Source organism: Homo sapiens, chromosome 12 (assembly GCF_000001405.40).
Source record: "Homo sapiens chromosome 12, GRCh38.p14 Primary Assembly".
Taxonomy (NCBI): Eukaryota; Metazoa; Chordata; class Mammalia; order Primates; family Hominidae; genus Homo; species Homo sapiens.
This window is the reverse complement of record NC_000012.12, coordinates 106,058,940-106,080,115: the sequence shown is the minus strand read 5'-3', so window position 1 is coordinate 106,080,115 and position 21,176 is coordinate 106,058,940. Positions and strand designations below refer to the sequence as shown.

Here is a 21,176-nt window from a genome sequence, read left to right as displayed (position 1 = left end):
TGGGCTTTGATGATATGAATGGGAGAGCTCTGTGTTCATGCATGAATTAATCAATTCATGTGTTGTGTGTATATATCCACGCATACCTGCATTCACTCATCCATTCCTGCATTTATTCACTGAGGAATTGAACGTCTTTTCTGGGCAATATTTATTTGATCAGAAATATTCATTAAGGTCCTACTGTGTACTTGACCCTGTGCTGGGGATTTAATAGTGAACTAGATGGCCAAATTTCTGTCTTGGAACTCAGGATCTCGCAGTTGTTAAACTAGCAGTGATAATGAGCCGTGAGGAGGATACAGAAGTCAGTGAAGAAGAGAAGGTACCTGCTCTAGTGAGCTTAAAATTCCAGTTGGAGACACAGCAGTAAACAAATAAACACATAATGTAATTGGCTGGCAGTGAAGAAAATCCATGCAGGATGAGAATGAAGAATAGAGTTGCTCTTTTACCTAGAGTGGTCAGGGAAGGCCCCTGGTATAGGACTTGAATTCCTGTCATCCACCAAGCTCTCTCTGGCTTCTTGACCTTGGCACACATGGTTCACACTGTCTGGAATGCTCTGCTCATTCCTTTTTGCCTGCTCCTTCTTTGGGGTCTCTGCTTGACTGCCTCTTCTTCCAGGAAGCCTTCCCTGATCCTTCTCCCTTGGCAGGGCCAAATGGCCCTGTGTAATGTATTCTGGAAGTGCTGAGCAGGAAGCAGTGGGTCTGTCTGGCTGGATGGACCAGAAAGCTTTCATGGAGGAAGAGGGATTGAATTGGGTTTTGAGGGATGGGTAGGAGTTTGATAGTAAGGAGCATGATGATGGCTTTTCAAGAGGAAGAAACAGCAAGCACAGGAACACAGCATGGAGACTAGAAAAGGAAAGTAATGCTTACTGAGCCCCTGCTAGAAGCTAGAGCCCCATGTCAGACCTTCCACACCTTATTTCATTTGGTCCTCAGAATGTCTCCACCGGGGTGGGTGTGATTACATCATTTTACAGAAGAGGAAGCTCTTGCAGCTAATAAGTGATGGGACTGGCTACAAACCTATGGCTATTTGACTCTAAAGACCAGACACCTGATGAATTCTACTCTCTACTCTTACTATCCAAATTTGCCATACATCTAAGAGCACATCAAATGAGGGCACTGTTTGGTCCATGCTTTGGTCAGCCTTACCTTGTCTGCAGGCAGGCTTGCAGACAGCTATCACTGCGAGAGACTCTCCAAGTGCTAATGGTGGCTGATGGCCAGGCTGAGTCATGGTGGCCAGAGTAGCCATGCGGGGATGCCAGGGCTGTGTGCTGTGAGCTGGCACTGGCTGCTAATTAACATCCATGGGAGCTGCTGCTTGGACGCGCCCTCTTTTAAGAGCCTCCTCACATTGTTCCTGGTGGGAATTTCTTTTCTTTTAAGAGAGGCAGCATGAGCTTAGATCCTCTGAAGACAGAAGCCGACCCCACTCACTTCTGCTCCTTGTTCCACTCCCTGCCTTCACTTCCTGGCAACTCAGGAGTGAGGCTGTCTTGAGTGAAGCCACAGCGATCAACTCCAAGGCCGGAAAGGAGTTATGGAGTGTACCTTCCTGGATGGAATTGCTGTCTTCCCGAAGAGTTACACAGAAAGTGCATTTCCTCGTCAGCCACCTGACAGCAATAACTCCCCTTTATGTAGAACTTTACAGCTAAGGCAGCTGTTCACCGATGTCTCAGGCAAGCCAGTTTACCACCCTGTGCCTCAGTTTTCTTATCTGCAAAATAAGGATAATTTTAGAATTCCACTATCTGCAATCTTCCAGATAGGGTTGTTGTGAGAATTTACTACATCAATATATGTAGCACTCACAGAACCGTGCCTGGCATATAGCAATGCTGCTACTGTTACTTTTATTTTTAGAGACAGGGTCTTGCTCTGTCGCATAGACTGGAGTGCAGTGGCACCATCATAGCTCACAGCAGCCTTAAACTCCTGGCCTCAAGCAGTCCCCCTGCCTTAACCTTGAAAAACACTGGGATTGCAGGCATGAGCCACCACATCTGGCCTATTTTAATTCTTTTCTTGTTTAATCTGGCTTTGATTTTCACAGCACCAAGTGATTGGCGGTATTGCAATTCCATTTTCCAACAAAGGAATCTGAGACTCAGAGAGGTTAAATAAAGTAGTCATAGCTAACATTTACTGAAGGCCTACTGTGTGCTAGGTAGGCATGGTGTAAGCACTTCCATGAATCAGTTTATTTGGTTTGGTACCAGCACTTCCAGGTAGGTGACATTATTATCATCAACCCCACTTTACAGATGAAGAAATGCAGGCTTAGAATGGCTAATGTGCAAGTGCGTATTATACACTGGGGCTCTTGTGAAAATGCAGTTTTAGTGGATCTGGGGCAGGGCCTGAGTGTCTCAGTTTCTGAAATGTTCCGAGGTGATGCTAATGCTGCTGGTCCGTGGGCCAGATTGGAGTGGGGTGGGATTATCTAAAGCGCCTTGGGTTAGATGCTGGTACGAGGCAAGGCTGAGATTTGAACTCAAGTGCTCAAACCCTGAATCCTTTCCTTTTCCCATCCTATGATGCAGCTTCTCACTCTGAACGTGACTGTATTATAAATGAGTGGTAAGATCTCCTGGCTCTTTAATGGGCAGTGGCTTTAATGCTTTTGGTTCCCTGTTTGCCTGGTCTAACAAACGATTGTTAAGTCGGCCAAACCATCAGCCTTACCATAATGGCTGTAATTTATAGCGTCAGCTGGTCCCAGGACTATTCCAGGAGCTTTACATGCGTATTCTCTACTCTTCTTACCTATGTGAGGTGGGTTCTAGTCTGAGTGCCATTTTGCAGATGAGGAACTTGAGTGACTTGGCAGGTCCCACCCATCACCTAGTAACGACAAAGCCATGATTAGCCCCAGGTTCTCCTGGACCCAAAATGTCTGATCTGTGGAGTGCACCACACTTCCTCTTAAACACTGCAGATGACTGTTAGACCATCACTAATTATTATCATTGCCATCAGCATCCTTTCCTATCAGTTAATGTCAGCAAGGTGACACTTCAGTTTTCACCAGATGAGCTCATTATAAACAGTGTTCTGGAGTTAATCCTTTTATGGTGGTAAAATATATGTAACATCAAACTTACCAGTTTTAGGTACACAGTTCAGTGGCATTAAGTATACTCATATTGTTGTGTAGGCATTACCATCATCCATCTCTAGAATGTTTTCACCTTCCCCAGCTGAAACGCTGTCCCCACTGAATAGTAACTCCCCTTTCCCCCTCCTCCCAGCCACTGGCAACCTCCATTCTATTTTCCATCTCTGAATTCGACTACTCTAGGGACCTCATGTACATGGAATCATATATGTCCTTTTGTGTCTGGCTTATTTCACTTAGCATAACATCTTCAGGGTTCATCTGTGTTGTAGTGAGGTTAATCCTTTTGAAATGTGAATGAATAATTACTTCCTCATTTATCTTTCTAACCCCAATTTTCATGCAGTGGGGAACACCTCTGGAAAGGCTTGATAACAATAAAAACTCCAAATATTAAGGACCCGAGCCTTGAGTTCCGGGGCTCCTTTCGAGAATTGAGGCTGAACTGAATAGCACAGGGCAGGGGCAGAAGGTGGTTCTGAATCAGTATGGGGCAGGGGAGCAGTCAAAACAACAAGCAAAAATGCCAGCTAGGTAGGTACCTTTCTCCAAAGCTTGCCTGCTAGTGTGTCAGCAAAATTCTTCAGCCCAGTCGCCTCCTTGCTGGAAAGTCATCCTCTCCATTTGCAGCTGATGTTCTGTTGGAGAAACTGTACGGCTTGGGAAGACCCATGTGCTCCTTCATGTACTTGCTGCTGTTCTTTGCAACCTTTAGCAAAACTTCTTATGCCCTGGAACCTTCAGCTGCTTCACTTTTAGAGCGAGGGGCAGGATTAACATCTGTTAGGGCTCTTTCAGGTCAAAGTAATTCTGAGATTTTGTTTTATGATGTTTAAAATCAGTATTTCTCAAATTTCAGTTTGTCATCCTTTTCATGGATTTTTGCCTTTCCGCAGTATCCTCACTGCTATTTTACTTAATATTTTTGTTGAGTTCAGGTCACTTTTTAAAGTTCTGTCTATTTGAAAAAGAAGCCCTAAATAATTACCTTAAGTGGAAAACCAGTATCACTTACCATGAATAGAAGATAAGCTCAAAACTAAGTATAATGGAAACCAAATAGCATTCTGAAGTTCCAGCTTGATGTTGGTTGCTGCTGCAGGCTAGGCCGGAGGCCTGGTCTCTTTGATAAATGCTAAAGAGATACTGAAGACACACCAGTGCCCAACTGAGACCTTCTTCTTGACTTAATCCAAAGAACTGAAGGTGAATCCAGAAAGGAATGAATTTTTCATTTTATTATTCAAAGTTATTTAATTCCATTATTATTTGGCATCTGAAATTTCTCTATTTCTTCACTGTCAAGAGTCCCTGGCATTGGGATAAACTCTGCTTCTAGTATAACGAAGGTAATTAACTCCCTGGATTTAAAGTTGGGAAGCAAATATATATTGAGCTCCAACTCTGGGCCAATTACTGTTGTAAGGACTTTACATACTTTATGTCATTTAATCTCCACCATGACACAGTAGGGATAGACACTCTTCCTAACGCTATTTTACAGACGAGAAAACTGAAGCTTCAGAGAGGTTTCATAACCAGTGGCCATTTCCCCTCTTATCAATAGTTGATATAAGTTCCGTATGGCATTAAATCTTAGAGCCGAAGCCTAAGTTTGAATGGCTCAAGATCTGAGAACGCTCTCTCTCTCTCTCTGTGTGTGTGTGTGTGTGTGTGTGTGTGTGTGTTGATTAATACTGCTTTCCCATCGAAGTGCCAAGAACACAGGCTAATCTAGATTTCTATTAATCTTGTGTCAGTGGCAATGACAGTTTTACTGGGAGAGGCTGATAAACATCAGTCTGTGAGGATAGGAGTGGGCCATAACATAAACACACTTCTCCAGAACGGCTACAGAGCAAATGAGGCTGCCCAGACTTGGAATGAAAACTCCTGGTGTGAGTGTGTGCATGTGCAGCGGGTGCCTCTCACACGCACGTGTATTTGGAAGCTCATATGGTGCCCCAGGCACTGCCAGGCGGGAAGAGAATGCATTTTCCTGTGCGTAGCCATTCCATGCCTCTTCTGATTGACAGGGCACACTTCATAAAGCTTCCAACCAACTTCCTGCAAGCAAGTCAGGGGCCTTGATAAGAAAGTGGAATTCAGGGCAATGAAGTGCAATCTGAGCCCGGAGAATGCATTTTCTGAGGCTGGTTGTACACCAGCTGCTTTCAATGACATTCCATTCATTCAGGGATGACTTTTACAAAATAGGCTGCTTCTAGGGGCTGTGACCACCACAGAGCCTCGGTGGTATTCAGGCTGGGCTCTCTCTGGGCATGTGAATCATGCAGCTCATTTCCAAGCCTCAAATGGAAATCAGCTTGGAGAATGATGGAAACCTACAGGGGCTCAGCTTGCAAGGCTGGCTTAGAGTGGAGTGAAATATACAGGTGACCCAGGGACAGGGTGGCACTGTGGTTTGAAGCTTTAGAGACACGGGGGTTTATATTGCTGCATATTAGTTACTCATCTCCTTAAATGAGTAACCTCAAACTCCTTAAACCTCAATTTCCTCATCTGTTAAATGAGTTTTTCAAAAAATGTGTGGTAAAGTGGACATAACATAAAACTGACTATTTTAACCTTTTTTAGGCATGAAAGGCATTCACATTGCTGTGTAAACCAGGTTTTTGTTAAGATTAGATTAAATAAAGTGTTTGGAGCAGTACCTGATAATTGGAAGTTGTTCAAAAAGTGGCAACTAAGTTTATTATTATTATTATTATTTTGCATTATATATTAATTATCTTGTGCTTTTCAAAATATAATGCCTGTACCAGTGACAAGTGTTTCTTGGGTGTGGGCAGGTGCTAAGCAGTGGATGATACAAAGATAAGGGGAGGATGTGGAACCTGCCAACTGCCTCAGGAAACTCAGAGTCTGGTAGGGAAAGCAAATATATATATGTATATGTATGTATATATGTGTATATGTGTATATTTGTACATATGTGTACATATACATATACATATATATGTAAAAGTGCTGTCATAAATGATAACACATAAAACACTTCAAGAAACCAAAGGAGAAGAGAATGACTCCAAGGTGTGTGGAGTACAATGAAAACAAGGCTAGATGAAACATTTGCATCAAACTTGAAGGTTATGAACCACTGTTACACTCACGGTGTCATCTTATTTTTTTTTTTGAGATTGAATCTCGCTTTGTCGCCCAGGCTGGAGTGCAGTGGTGTGATTTTGGCTCACTGCAATCTCCGCCTCTCAGGTTTAAGTGATTCTCATGCCTCAGCCTCCCGAGTAGCTGAGATTACAGGCATGCACCACCACGCCCGGCTAATTTTTGTATTTTTAGTAGAGACGGGGTTTTTCCATGTTGGCCAGGCTGGTCTCGAATTCTTGACCTCAAGTGATCCGCCTGGCCAAGGTCTCATCTCGATTGATTTCTTTTTCTTATTATTCTCATGATGATCCTGTGAGCTAGAACAGGGAAGGGATCATGGATTCCCATTTTCTGGTGGGTAAACTGAGGCTCAAGGTCATTAAGTGACAGATAGGAGCAGAGTTGGGACTGAAATATGATGACTCAAAACCCAATGCTGTGAGTCAATTAGTCCATTTCATCTTGAGTCACAAGACAGGCAAAATACAGTTCTGATCAGGGTGTGAGTGGATACAGAGGTGGTATCACCAGTTGTGTAGGTCAGGGTTTTTCCGCAGTGTGATATGCACACCACCGCAGATGCAGCATAATTGGGTAGACCACAGAGGGAGAATTCTTAAATTAATAGTTACACACTTTAATGTTCATCAGAAACATCAAGCCAGTGATTTTGTGAATGTTATTTCTCAAAGCAAGTCTAAATTAAAGTTTAAATAGAGCATCCATTTAAAGAGTAATTTCTAAGTAAGTTGCAGAGCTTGTAGTCTGCAGATTTGGTAGAACTTGTGATGGATGCCAAGGACTGCAGCTAGGAAACACTGACCTGCTTGGGCTGAGTGGTCCTTTATGAAGACTCAGGGCTGGAGAGAAAATGGCGATCCAGCCAGCAGACCCACCCAGGTGCCCTTCATCCACTCTGTGTGCTGTGTGGTGTGAACTGATCCAACACAGACATAATCTGGAATGCTAACAAGTCTCCCTGGGTCTTGCTTCTCTTTGTAGATTGCTGACTTTGGGCTTTCCAACCTGTACCAGAAGGATAAGTTCTTACAAACGTTTTGTGGGAGTCCACTCTATGCATCTCCTGAGATTGTCAATGGGAGACCTTACCGAGGGCCAGAGGTGAGCAGCTTTCCCAATGTGTATGGGGCAGGGGAGGGGAGGGAGAAGAGGGAGGAAGGGCAAAAACTGGATTCGAGAAATGCTTAAAAAAACAGAGCCTAAAAAAGCCAGCAAGGAAAACGTTTCCTTATACGATTATAAAAGCAGTTAATGTATACTCCTGGGAGGAAATTTGGGAAACCCAGAAAAGCCTAAAGGAGAAAATAAAGGTACCTGCCATCCCCCTAGAAAAGATAATCACTTAAAACTCTAGTGACTTTTAAACTTTTCCCAATGTAGATCTCTGCATTTCAAAAATAATTGAGATCAAGTTAATAAAAGGCAAGATATACATATGTATGTGACACACGTATGTATATCTTGCCCTTTACTATGAAAACTATCTTGTGGCAATTTCCAAATTCATTATTAAAAACATGATTTTAATGACATTTTATCAATGAATATACCAAAATTTATTTAGTAATGTCTAGATGTGAACATTTAGTTTTTTCCCTATTATATCAAAACAGACAAAACAAACAAACAAAAAATTGCCTCACTCTGGGGTAAATATCTTTTTTGTATATATTTTTGGCAGCATGCATATCTGACTAAGGAAATACATTTTAATGACATCTTCTAATTCATGAGAAATACATTTCCCTACATGCTAGCGCTTTCAAGGGCCACTGTAAGATATGGGTATATGGAAATTTTATTTTGAAAATGAGTGAGTTGTGAGTGATGATTCTCTTTTTGAAAGATGGTTCTCTTTTCAGAGTTCATCCACTCAGTATCCTTTAAATAGCAGCTGCTCAGTGTGTTGAAATGTTTTCTTTCAAATATTTATGTGTTTGAGAGTGTTTGGGGGCAGGGCTGAAGGGTAAAGAGAAGGATGCCAAGACCATCTATTAACTGCAATGAAGAGAAAGTCTTTCTAAAATAAGAATGTGAGGGAGGAGCATAGAACTCAATTTACAAACTTGTAGAAACTCGACACGAAATTTCTCATAGATAATGAATATTTTGGTCTTCGATGACCTGTTTTTGAGGTTCCAGGCTAGCAGTCTGTGATCTGGTCAGCAAACTCCTTTATTTGGCCACCTTAGTTTTTATTAAAAAAATTGAACAAACATGTAATAATTGGGAGATTTCATGTAAAAGTTTGGTTTCTGACTTCTCTTGTAAAACCAAAGAATCGAGCAGTGCTGGGCCCATGTTACTACATGGCAGCAATTAGCTAAGGAGAGGCTGTCTGCCTAAGACGGGTGAATGTACTGTACAGTTTGTCTCCATCCCCAACACTCTATGTCATAACCCCAATTCTTTCTTGCTTTGTGTATATCTGTTAAGATTTCAGTTTGTAATTCCTGATTCATTTGAAGAAAGTGCAGGAAGGAATTGATTCCTGGATTAGGAATGAAGAGCCCCGCATCCCAGTTTTACCTCCGTCACTGGGGCAGGGCCTCTGGAGAAACCATTTAGGTTCTTCGTGCCTCAGTATTCTCATCTTTTAAATGGGGCTGAAAATAGTCCTGGCTCTAACTGCTTCACAAAATTGTAGTGAGGATTAAAGAAGATAATCTGTTTAAGAAAGTTCTTTACTAGTTGGGACCACTGGCCTCTGTTCAGAATGGAAAGGTCAGGCTCTGTAGCAGGTCCCAGCTGCATTGCTGTCAGGTGTCAGGCTGCACTAGGAACCTATCTTCCAGGTGCTAAATTCAGTTCCTGGGGCTGCTGGGGGTGGCTGCTCACAGGCTATGATGCTAATGGTTTGGAAGGCATCTTGGGATCTGTTTCCCAGCTCTCCTATATGTGCTGTCTCTCTGCTCCAGGTGGACAGCTGGGCCCTGGGTGTGTTGCTTTACACTCTTGTTTATGGAACAATGCCCTTCGATGGTTTCGATCACAAAAACCTCATTCGGCAAATCAGCAGCGGAGAGTACCGGGAGCCAACACAGCCCTCAGGTGCGTGCCCTGTGGAGGGAGGGTCAGAGGTGGAGGGGAGAGAGATCTGCTTACCCAACTCTTATTTTCTGCTTTTGTTTTAGTATGTCTGTCTGGAGTCACCTGGTTTTCCTCTTTCTTCTTCCCAGAAGTGTCATCCTTGGCAAAACTGGCTTATTAGGCTGCTTTCCCCAAACCTTCCCAAAGGAAATTTTCAGAGCACACCTTCTAGGAGTCCTGTTTGCTTGCTTTGTGGATCTGGACAAGTCACTTAATCTCTTTGGATTCAGATTCTCCACCATAAATAAAAACGTTGGAAAAGATATTAGATGAGGTCTCTCCCAGTCTGAGTAGACATAGAAACCACTCACCTGAGAATGTAAATACTGTGAGGGTGGCCACTGCTCTGTCTCTCACTACTGTGCCACTGGCATGGGGCATGGCTCATGGGTTCTGTCTCATTATTGATTTCTGTGTAACAACTCTACCCCATCTGCCCCTACAAAACAAACTCAGTGGCTTACACAACCATGAAATCATCTCTTTCACCCCTGTGGGTTGGGAAGTGCTCTTATGGCCTTCCTCTCCTACAGTTGTAAGCAGATGGCAGTTGGGGCTGCTGCTGGGGCTGAATGGTGGACCTTCCTCAGTGCTCTCTGAGGTGCCACCCCACAGTGGCAGCTTGGGGTTCTAAGAAGGAGGAATAAAAAGTTGCCGAGCTTTCTTTCTTTTTTTAAAATTTTTCTTGAGAGAGTGTCTCGCTCTGTTGCCCAGGCTGGAGTGCCAGTGCCATGTCCATGCTTGTACCCAGATTGTGTCACATCTGCTGTGTTCTATTGGTCAAGACAACCACGGTCATGAGCTTCATCTCTTGATGGGGAATATCATGCCTGTATAGAGAGTGTGTACAGCTGGCCATCATTGGTCATTTTTGTTAACAAATGAAGTTAACATTGGCACTTCATTTATATACATACTATACACACGCATATATATATATGTATATCTGTATACCTACACATACACAGTTGATTCTCATTCATAGTAGTTATGTTCTACAAAGTTGCTACAAACACTGAATTTGTGAATATTGAACCATTGCTCTTAGGGGAAATAGAGGGTTAGGTTCCTGAGAGCCTCTGCTCACAATATTTTTGTTAACTGATTGATATATAACCTTGTTTTATGTGTGTCTCTGTTTAAAGACACCTTATTTAATCTATATTATTAATTCATTAACATCAAACTCAACAGCCAACAGCACTGTAACTCATGCCTAAACAAAACTGATCTAAGACACTTATCTTCTCCATAAGGCACATCACAGCCTTCTTGAGCTTAGGAACACTGAACAGTGCTTCAGCACTGTTTTAGGGAGGCATTTAAAAAGAGGAATCACCAATAAAAATTCCAAAAAATGTGAGAAATACAGCACTAAATAGACTGAGAAAAGGACAATTTGTATAATAGTATGAGAACTGAAATAAGAAGGCAGAGTGTTGCCTTGTTTGACCTCCGCTGTGAATACATATGTGTGTTGGGGTGACTCAAACTTTTTGCTGCTCTGTGCATATGCAAAAATGACTGCAAAAGAGCTGCGAATATTGATTTTGAGGTTACCAATAAATTTTAGCAAGTAGGCAAATTTGCAAATACAGACTCTATGGATAATCAGGCTAGACGGTTGTATGTGTATATATAGATATGCATTATCTCTCTCTCTATATATAATTTTTTCAACAAGCCAGCCTGTTCTTTTTGGAAAAATTCAGAGTGACCTCTAAAGTGGTCTTCTTTGCCTCACCAGCTAACTGATGCCAATGCGGTTCCTGGCACATTGTAGGCGTTCAAGAAATACTTATTGAATGACTGAGGATGATCATCTTGGTACTTTTCAGGGGTGTTTCTTGCCCCAGTCCCTATTACCAGGCCTTTGCCAGCTTCTCATTCGCTTACATAAGCAGCTGAGGGGAGGTGGCAGCTTCCAAGAATATAATTCACCCCAATTGGGGGAACACAGTTTGAACCTAAAAGTCAGTTTATAAGCTGTGAGAGTCAGTTGGTTCCTGTGGCCTTCTCAGCATCCCTTTAGGGGTTTTCCCTAATTCTCTGGCAGCAGAAATTTGCAGGTAGAATTTCCAGACAGGCTGTGAATGGGAAGCAGATATAGATCACTTCTCTGATCTGATAGCTCAGTAGAAGATGGCTTATGTCAGAGAGGGAAAGAAGGCAAGCTCACTGAGTGTTGGTCTCAGAACCTGGCCTGGACCTTGGGGCGAGGCCAGCTTTGGAGATGGCCACGCTTACTGCCCAGGTGTTCCAGGTAAGTGCCTCTGAGCCACACTCCATGTTCTGTCTCTGGCATGCTTTCCCAGTGACTGCAGGTGCTGTGTGTTTATACAAGCCCACCTTTGGAGGAATAAAGAAAGCCATGGTTATCTACACCTGTTTTTCCTCTGGTAAAATGATATTCGCCAAAGGAATGGTGGGGCACCTCTCAGGGTCAAGTCTGGATTCTTTCTTGGTTACCTGACCTTCCACATTTTCTAAAGATTCAAGATGATGAAAAGCTTAGTAGTTCTATGACATTTTCTCACTTACAGGGAAAACATGCCATGATGTGATGGCACCCTGGCCTGTGGTTCCAAGTCTTGATTATGCTTTTGATGGATGATCTGAAAGGCTGGGGCTTCCTGCTCCATAATGTGGCTGGACCAGGTCTCCAGATGGATTTGTCCTAGAGGGAGTGTGTGTCTTTCGTCACTCCTGGAGGGTCCCACTATCACAAAGCCAGAAGCTCCCACATAATGCCCGATTCTTTTTGTCCCTTGTCCCTTAGATGCTCGAGGACTCATACGGTGGATGCTGATGGTGAACCCCGATCGCCGGGCCACTATTGAGGACATTGCCAACCACTGGTGGGTGAACTGGGGCTATAAGAGCAGCGTGTGTGACTGTGATGCCCTCCATGACTCTGAGTCCCCACTCCTGGCTCGGATCATTGACTGGCACCACCGTTCCACAGGGCTGCAGGCTGACACCGAAGCCAAAATGAAGGGCCTGGCCAAACCCACGACCTCTGAGGTCATGCTAGAGCGGCAGCGGTCGCTGAAGAAATCCAAGAAAGAGAATGACTTTGCTCAGTCTGGTCAGGATGCAGTGCCTGAAAGCCCATCCAAGTTGAGTTCTAAGAGGCCCAAGGGGATCCTGAAGAAGCGAAGCAACAGCGAGCATCGCTCTCACAGCACTGGCTTCATTGAAGGTGTAGTTGGTCCTGCCTTACCCTCTACTTTCAAGATGGAGCAGGACTTGTGCAGGACTGGCGTGCTCCTCCCAAGCTCACCAGAGGCAGAGGTGCCGGGAAAACTCAGCCCCAAGCAGTCGGCCACGATGCCCAAGAAAGGCATCTTGAAAAAGACCCAGCAGAGAGAATCAGGTTACTACTCTTCCCCAGAGCGCAGTGAGTCTTCGGAGCTGTTGGACAGTAATGATGTGATGGGCAGCAGCATCCCCTCCCCCAGCCCCCCGGACCCAGCCAGGGTAACCTCCCACAGCCTCTCCTGCCGGAGGAAGGGCATCTTGAAACACAGCAGCAAATACTCAGCGGGCACCATGGACCCAGCCCTGGTCAGCCCTGAAATGCCCACACTGGAATCCCTGTCAGAGCCTGGTGTCCCTGCCGAGGGCCTCTCCCGGAGCTACAGCCGCCCTTCCAGTGTCATCAGCGATGACAGCGTGCTGTCCAGCGACTCTTTTGACTTGCTGGATTTGCAGGAGAATCGCCCTGCCCGCCAGCGCATCCGCAGCTGCGTCTCTGCAGAAAACTTCCTCCAGATCCAGGACTTTGAGGGGCTCCAGAACCGGCCCCGGCCCCAGTACCTGAAGCGGTACCGGAACCGGCTGGCAGACAGCAGCTTCTCCCTCCTCACAGACATGGATGATGTGACTCAGGTCTACAAGCAAGCGCTGGAGATCTGCAGCAAGCTCAACTAGCATTCCAGGGCGCCCAGGGGCGGGCGGGGGTACGAGGGAGGAAGGGGAGCAAGACTTGGGCTCACAGGCTGGTTACCTCTTTGCTGGCTGTGACAACAGACTGAAAAAGGATTGGCACTGTCTCACTTGGCCAAGTTTGCAGCCTTGAGCCAACACCTAAAAGGGAGAGGTGGGCTCTTCTGCCAGTTCTGTCAATTGTCAGTCAGAATTTGGGCCCTGTTTGGCATTTGCTTTATGGCACCTCCTAGAGGACCAGCTGTCCAGGGGAGGTGGTATTGACCGGCACTCAGTGGGTGGAGAGGAAGCATATGTGGAAGGAGCATTTCCTTAGAAGTCATCCAGATGCTTCTGGAGGAGGGGCAGGAGACACTTGGGCTGTTTGCCTTGGGTGAGCCCAAAGAACTTGCCCCTTTTCTCCTTGTATTAGCAAGCTAGGTCTGGCTGCGTGGAGCTGGCAAGTAGATTTCAGCAACTTGAGCTTGAGTTGACGATCAATTAATAGTGGCTGCCAGTTGTGCTGGCGTAAGTGGCCCACATCATGGGGAAGGAGTGCTGTGATTGACTAGTAATGGCTACCACGGGAAAGGGAAGGGGAAGCAGTAGCACTAATGCTATGTAGTTGTCATCTTTGATCTGGCTAGGCCCTGGGAATCGGGTTTAGTCATCCTGTGGGATCTATGTTAACTCTTTCATGCCACTGGTGAGGCATTTGTTAATTTGCTACTCAACTTTGAGGAAAGACAGGGCCTTGGTCAGAGAGAGAATGCTCTGAACTCTGCTAAGGACATAGAGTCAGCCCATGGTGATTTAGCTCCTTGCTGTTCACCTCCTCTTTCCTGATGTCTGCCTTGCTCTACAGCACAACCTCTTGAGGGTGGACAGGGAGAAAGATGATGGTGTCAGAGGTCAAAACTATTATATATGACAGGGCACAAGATGGTCTGTGATCTTTGCACAGATGAATGGAAGTTGATGCACACCAACAAGAGGCAACTTGTCACTTTCTTTCTCAATATTAACTGGAATGCTGCCTCTTGGGTTCTCACCTGCATGGATGCTTTGAGTTGGACGTGATACTGTCCATATTCTCCAGAGGATTACCTGGCTGAACCATTGGCTCTGTTCACCAGTGACAGATGGTTTCCCCATCCACTGAGTGTAGCATCCTCAGAGGTAGGCAAGTTTGCTTCTAGGGAGTTAGCATGTAGATGGGATATTGGGATGAGGAAAGGAAAATCAGGTAGATGGTGCTTTTTTTCCCCCAAATCTAAGTATTCTATGTCATGGTTTTAAACTTTGCCATGAACTCCTGGGCTTTGGGGGAAGAGAAAGTTCCATTCATTTAAATGAATAAGGTGTTGAAAGAGTGCAGGGGGTTGGGAGGAAGCATGTAAGAGAGGGAACATTTCCTTAGATGTTACCCAGATGGTTCTGGGGGAGACAGAAAAGAGGTGCGGCAGGACTCTTATCTTAAAAAGTAAACAAAACAAAACAAAACAAAACAAAAAACTAGATATGTAATTTCTAAACACCCAGATCACAATGACAAGATGCCACTCCAACCATGGGACACCTTCATGATACTAGGTTTGTACTTCCTGGTCTCTGGGATGACTTCAGATTCTGCTGGCCAAGGCAAATTGAACTCAGTTCAAGATGGCCACCACTGGTAGACGTGTAGATAGAAAAGAGGACTGGTCTTGGGAACATCTTTGGAAAAACCAACAAACAATAGTTCTAGGGAGATGAGAAAAAAATTCACCTTACAGTGCTAAGAAAGTGCATTAGAATGGAATTGCCCTTTCCTTAAGGAGACAGTTTGGGCTCTCCCCTTGCCACCGGCTCTGGTGTTTTGGCTTATGCGTTCCTTCAGGTTGAGCTGAGCAGTGTGTTATGGGAAGCTGCTCAATTTCCTTTCATTCAATTCCACCTCCTTCCTGAACTCTAATAGAGGTTAAAAGGGAAAAAAAAAATTCTGTAGATAGCAAATTGTGTGTGTGGGGGGGGGTGGGGGTGTGGGTGCATGGAGGACAACCTGCAACTCTGAGCTCCCTACTTCCTGCCTCATTTCATGCAGTCTTTTCTGAACAGCCTATGCTGCTGCCCTGCTGGCCCCTTGTGCACGGCAGCTGGCCGTGTCCGTAGCTGTCAGTATGACTTAGATCTAGCTCCTACCTACTGGTTGATGTGTTTTTTCCTTTTGCCAAGTGATTGAGTCTGTTTAGTAGTTTCCATCATTCTAGTCTTTAAGTAAAAATGACACTATTGAGGAAAGTCAGTCTACTCCCTTCTTCCTCCCCCCAAACACGTGTTCTCTTTTGTCAGGAAACTCAGCCAGTGGACTGTGGCAGAGAAAGTCCTCCACTCAGAGGCAGAGACTGAGTTAAGTCATAGGTGGCCTTAGGCATCTGCATTGTTTGCAGGGGTTAAGTTTTCCTTCCAGTGAGGGCTGGAGGGATGAATTAGCTGGTACCTGAAGCCCCGCTTAGCTCTGACACTCTGCCAACATCCTCTGATTCTAGGTGTGGTGTTGACTGTCCTTTCAAGGAAAAACTTGCAATAGAGGGAAAAGCCATTAAAGCAGCTCCCTGCTTCATCATTAAGTCCTGTCATCCCTACCAGCCAATCCCAGTCAAAGAAGTTATGCTTTATTCACTTCTGTGGAATTACAAGTGAGAGACACTTTTAGGACCTGATGGACAAAGCAGGAGATTCACTGTCAGCTTTCCTGGTCCTCTCCTTACTTCTGTGGGCCTTGCACCGTCTTAGTTTACACATCTGCCAAAGGGGTAGAATTACACTTCTTTTTACAGGTAAATGTCAAGGCACAATCAGTTTTCAGGAAGTGCTTCAAGACCCCAGGTGAAATGAAAATGCTAAGTACCCTCTGAATGGCCATGCCTGTTACCAGGTGCTGCTTCTTCAGATGATGGGGAGCACTTTTCAGGGTGAAATTCAGGCGAGTTTTGCCCAGGCCTGCTGTCTTGAGTACAAATGTGAATGATCGACTGACTGCTTGTTGCCAAACTGGAAATGTTCTGTAGGGATTTACTGGCATGGTATCATTCCTAGAAGAAAAAAAGAGAGAAACTTGACTGCACATTAAAAAAAAAAAAAAATCCACATTGTGACTTTTATTTAATTTCTATTTTTTTTGGTAATAAAAAGTTGACTTTTTTATTTGAATTTGTCTTTTTTATTTATTGGTCTGAAAGGCATTTCAAAGGTATTATAATAATATATTGGTGTAATTTAATTGGTGCAACATGCTTTATGGCTCCTGTCAAAATTGGTTTTCACTCATTTGATTGGTTTGAGCCCAGAACAGCCTACAGGGGAAAAACAAGCTGGATAACCACCCAAAGTGTTTGTATTTTCGTTGGAAACTGATTTTTGTTTCATTTTGGTTTTTGTTTCTGTTTTTATTTTTAAATTAAATAAATTGCAATGAACTGAACCAGAGACCTTGCTTCTTTATTTGGTGGTTTTTTCTTAGTCAAGTAAGTGACAGAATCAATATAAGTAACAGAGACCTACCCAAATGAGCTTAAGCACAAAAGGGAATTTATTCGAAGTTCTTAGAAGAGGAAATGCATCTTGCAGTGCCGCTGGAATTAAGAATTGGAGTGGTGGATTGAAGAGGACAGTATACCCTCTTTTCTGCTTCTCTTTGCATATCAGCTTTCTTCTCCTTTTATAGCCTGGCTTTCTTCTCTCTGATTGTGGAACCCACCTTGGCTTATCCCGTAGCTTCCAAATTTACATGTTCTCAGTCTTGGTTTCCAAAAGAGACTACTCACCAGGTTCCTTAGTTCTGAACTGGAGACGTCATCAAAGGCTAACACTCAGCCACGCTCTTTCTCCACATTTCAGTTTCCTGTGCCTGCCCTTTCCCTAGGCACTCCCCTCTATCCCAAGGGCAGGAAGTTGCTAATCTGATTGGGATTAATCAGAGTCCAAGATCAGTGGGTCACGATTTCCTAATGGGGAAGGCCACTCACGGCTCTGCCTAGAATGACAGTATCTTGAGTCCCATTTTGCCACTGTTTCTTGTGTAAATAGACCCTCCAGAAAGCTCTTGGAAGGAGAGGTGCATCATAGAGCAAGATTGAAGAGTTCCTGGATCCTGGCCATAATATCAGGTGACATCAAACCCTACCCTAGTATCAAACATTAGAGAGTGATGCTGTGCACAGAATAGTAGTGTTTTAGGATCCATGCCAGAAAAGTCTGACTTTCCAAAGAAATTACAACTTGCACCCCTTTTCTAGTTTACTGGAAGAACATCTGATGTAGCATTGTCACATTTAGCAAATAAAACTACAGAATGCCTAGTTACATTTGAACTTCACATATACTATGAATAATTTTTCAATATAAGTGTGTTCCAGACAATATTTGGGTCATGCTTATACTAAAAAAAAAAAAAAAAGAAATTCAAATTTAACTGAGCATACTGTATACTATCTGGCAACCTAACCTGATAGGGCTTAGTTGTCCAAATTGACCAGGTGCTGGGTGTGGTAGGAGGTTGGGGAATGGATGCTTATAATTGTGGCTTGCCAAATTAGAACACGTTGGTGCCTCTCAGGTTGGGCTGAGGTTGGAAGAATTCCAAGTTCAGTCTGGACTTGATAATTGCAATTAAGTTGCTACACCTTTTTGGAACTCAGCTTTCTCAGCTGTCTAATGGGTATATTAATTGCTCTCTTATCCAACTCTAACAGGGCTACGAAAAAGAAGGAATGAGAGAAATTCTATGAAGTCACCTTGAGTATAAAACTCAATATGAATGAGAAACAATAGTCCTTTCTTTGCAGGGCAATAGTCACTGACTTAAAATAGGACATTTAAAGGCCTGTGGGCTTTTAATTCTTGCTTCAACCCCTGCCACCACTAGCAAATGGGCAGTAAGTTGCAGTTAGAGGGGCTGTAGGTCATTTGTGGAGTACGTTTACTTAGAAGTGTGACCCTTGGAAAATACATAATTCTGTATCCAGGCAGAAAGAATAGCCTGTGCATGGCCTAGAGGCTGGACCAAATGTGACATAGTAAGGGTAGTGAAAAAATAGGGGTGACTGTAGTGGCAGCAGTTGACATGTTGACAACTGTTGTGGGGTTAATGGGCAGTGGTCACTTTAAGGAGGAAAGTTGAGAGAACTAACATGTATTTAACTTCTACGTAATGCCCACTCCATCTTTATTCAGTAGCAAATGGCAGAAATCCACTCAGACCATATTAAGTAATGATTAATTTACTGCTTCATGGAACCGAGAAGCCCAAGTGTGTGTCTCAGGCACAGTTGGATCCAGGAGTTCAAGGGATCTCATTGGCCTCTTTTTCACTCACTCTCCCTGGATGAGGCTTTATTCTTAGGCAGGCCCTCTCCACATGGCAGCAAGACAGCTCCTGGCCAAAGCAGGGTTATGACGCTTTTTTAGAGTGTGATCCTCAAACCAGAGAGGTTCTTAATGTCCTAGCATTTAGGGAACAAGGAAGGACTGTGATTGGCTTTGTTTGGGTCATGTGTCTCCTCCTGGCCCATCACAGAGTCTGGGTGGAGAAGTGCTCTGATTGGCCAGCCTGGATCATGTACGCACCTTGTGGTATATTTAAATGACACGGAATCACACAGAATGTGGGAGAACAGCTCCCCAAAGGAAGGAATGCAGAGCCAACGATGTTAGTTACACTTTTTGGGCCTCAATTTCCTCACCCATATAATAGCATTAAATAATCGCTAATTTTCAGAGTTATTGTGAAGATTAAATGAAATAAAGTTCCTAACGTGGTGCCTGGCACATAGTGGATTTTTAATTTATACAGATAATCTCAGGGAAGACAACAGTAGTAATACATTAGAGAGAAGATATATTTGTTAGGAAGATTTTAGATGTAAAATCAGCTATAATATCAGAAAATTCAGCTGAAATTGGCTTAAACACTACAAGGGCTTTATCAGCTCATACACCTGGAATTCTAGAGGTTGGGGAGTTTCCCAGTTACTTGGGTCTAGTGAAAGAAGTTACATACACACCCCCCACAATTACATATAGTAAGTTCTATGGAAGAAATGGATATGGTACAGAGATAGAGGAGTAAGGGTGGGAGCTACCTCCTGCAGAAAGAGCATTCAGGGAAGGCATCTCTGAAGAGGTGACTTTTGGGCAGAGATCTGAAGATGAAGACTAGTCATATGTAAAGTGAGCATTCTGGGCAGAAAGAACAGTATCTGCAAGGGCCCTGGGGTCTTCACATTAGAGCTTTACAGGATTAGTTTCTGGTTCCATTGGCATAGGACAGCCATGATCCAGGGAACGTGATGTTTTGTTAAACATGTGTGGCCACGTTCTAATATGGACTGAATGTGATCGTTTGTGACTTTGTGTACAGATGGCTGCTTCCTTCAACAGGTGGTCCCCAGACAAATATACATGGCTAGATGTGTAGTTTTAAATGAGAATTGTTTCCGCTGCAGAAATTCACTGCCAATTTATTGAAATTTATGGAGAGGATGTTTTTAATCTACAGAATCATGCAAAGTTTGGGGTATGGAAGTGGAACAGCAGCGTTGCTATATGAAGACCAGAAAGTGCAGACAAAGGGGTTTTCACGTCACAAGCCTTGTCTCCTCCTGGCACAACTGTCTGGTTCCAGTAGGGGGTTGCCTGGGAAATTTGCAATCAACTTTGTTGTAAAATCATGAGTTATTTTCATCCTGATGAAAAATTTACACAGCCCTTCTCTACCTGACTGGGAATATCCATTGTACCTCGACCAGCTGGTTCCCCATCCACTCCCTGTACTAGTGTTTGTTTGTGAATTAGTCTGGACATACTATGTTATGCTGAAGTAGCAGACAAACCCTGAAATGTCAATGGCTCAATATAATAAACAACAATTTCTCACTACCACTAAGTCCAGTACAGGGCTGTTCTCTTTTCATGTCACCTTCAAGCAGGTGCTCAAACATCTGAGCTTCTTCTATCCTGTGGTTCTGACATCTCCAGGTTCTTCATTGCTAGCTGTGCAAATGAAGGAAAGAGCAGAAGTCAGAACCTTTTAAAGATGAGGCCTAGATGTGGTGTGCATCATTTGTGCCCACCTCCCATTGGTCAGAACTCAGCCATCTGACCTCGACCTAATCATAGACAGTCCTCAAGTCTATAGTACTTAAAAAGTGAAAAGTAAAATGGAATCAGACGAACACTTAGCAATGTTTCTGCCACGGCTTATTTTTGCTTCCCGGGGGAACTCTCACCGTTAAGAAAAATAATTATTGTTAGTATTAACCAAGTGCTTACCCGGCAGCAGTCCGTATGCCTACCCTTTGCATATATTATCTCTTTGAATGTTCCTCATGTTCCTTTATCTCCATTTTTACAGATGAGGAAACACTTTTGGAAAAGTGCAGTAACTTGCCCAAGTCAACCAACTGTTAAATGTGCATCTGGATTCAAATATGGGCCTGGGTGACTGACTTTCAAGTCCAAGCTCTTAGTTGCTCTGTTGGGAATCAGGGATGATGATTCTGCAACTCAGTCTCCTCGACAGTAAGCCCAGCCTGTTGCCATCTCTGTTGATATAAACAGCATTTTCCTGCAGGAGCTGAGCAGATATCAGGAACAAAGACAGTTGCCCAAATCAATGCATTCTCCAAACAAACATGGAGAAGAGAGCAACTGTCCCCAATACCCCACTGATGTGAAATTCTAGAAGCTCCAGTCTCAGCAGATGGAATTAATAGAATGATTCATGTTTCTTCACTACTCTACTGTGGGATGGGATGGAGGTGACTCCATCCTGAGCACCTGCAATGGCTCAGAATTCAGTAAAGGAGACAGCAGGCCTCCAGTGGCTG

The 21,176-nt window shown here is 43.9% G+C and overlaps 1 protein-coding gene across 1 annotated transcript in view; it reads left to right on the top strand.

Moving 5' to 3' along the window:
- NUAK1 (NUAK family kinase 1) overlaps window positions 1–16,771 on the top strand; it is a 75,610-nt gene extending 58,839 nt beyond the window's left edge. The window contains exons 5-7 of the mRNA NM_014840.3: window positions 7,273–7,392; window positions 9,210–9,342; window positions 12,161–16,771. Coding sequence (NP_055655.1) covers window positions 7,273–7,392; window positions 9,210–9,342; window positions 12,161–13,314 — 1,407 coding nt within the window. The 3' untranslated portion in view covers window positions 13,315–16,771. The remainder of the gene's footprint in view (window positions 1–7,272; window positions 7,393–9,209; window positions 9,343–12,160) is intronic.
- The last annotated feature ends 4,405 nt before the right edge of the window (window positions 16,772–21,176 follow it).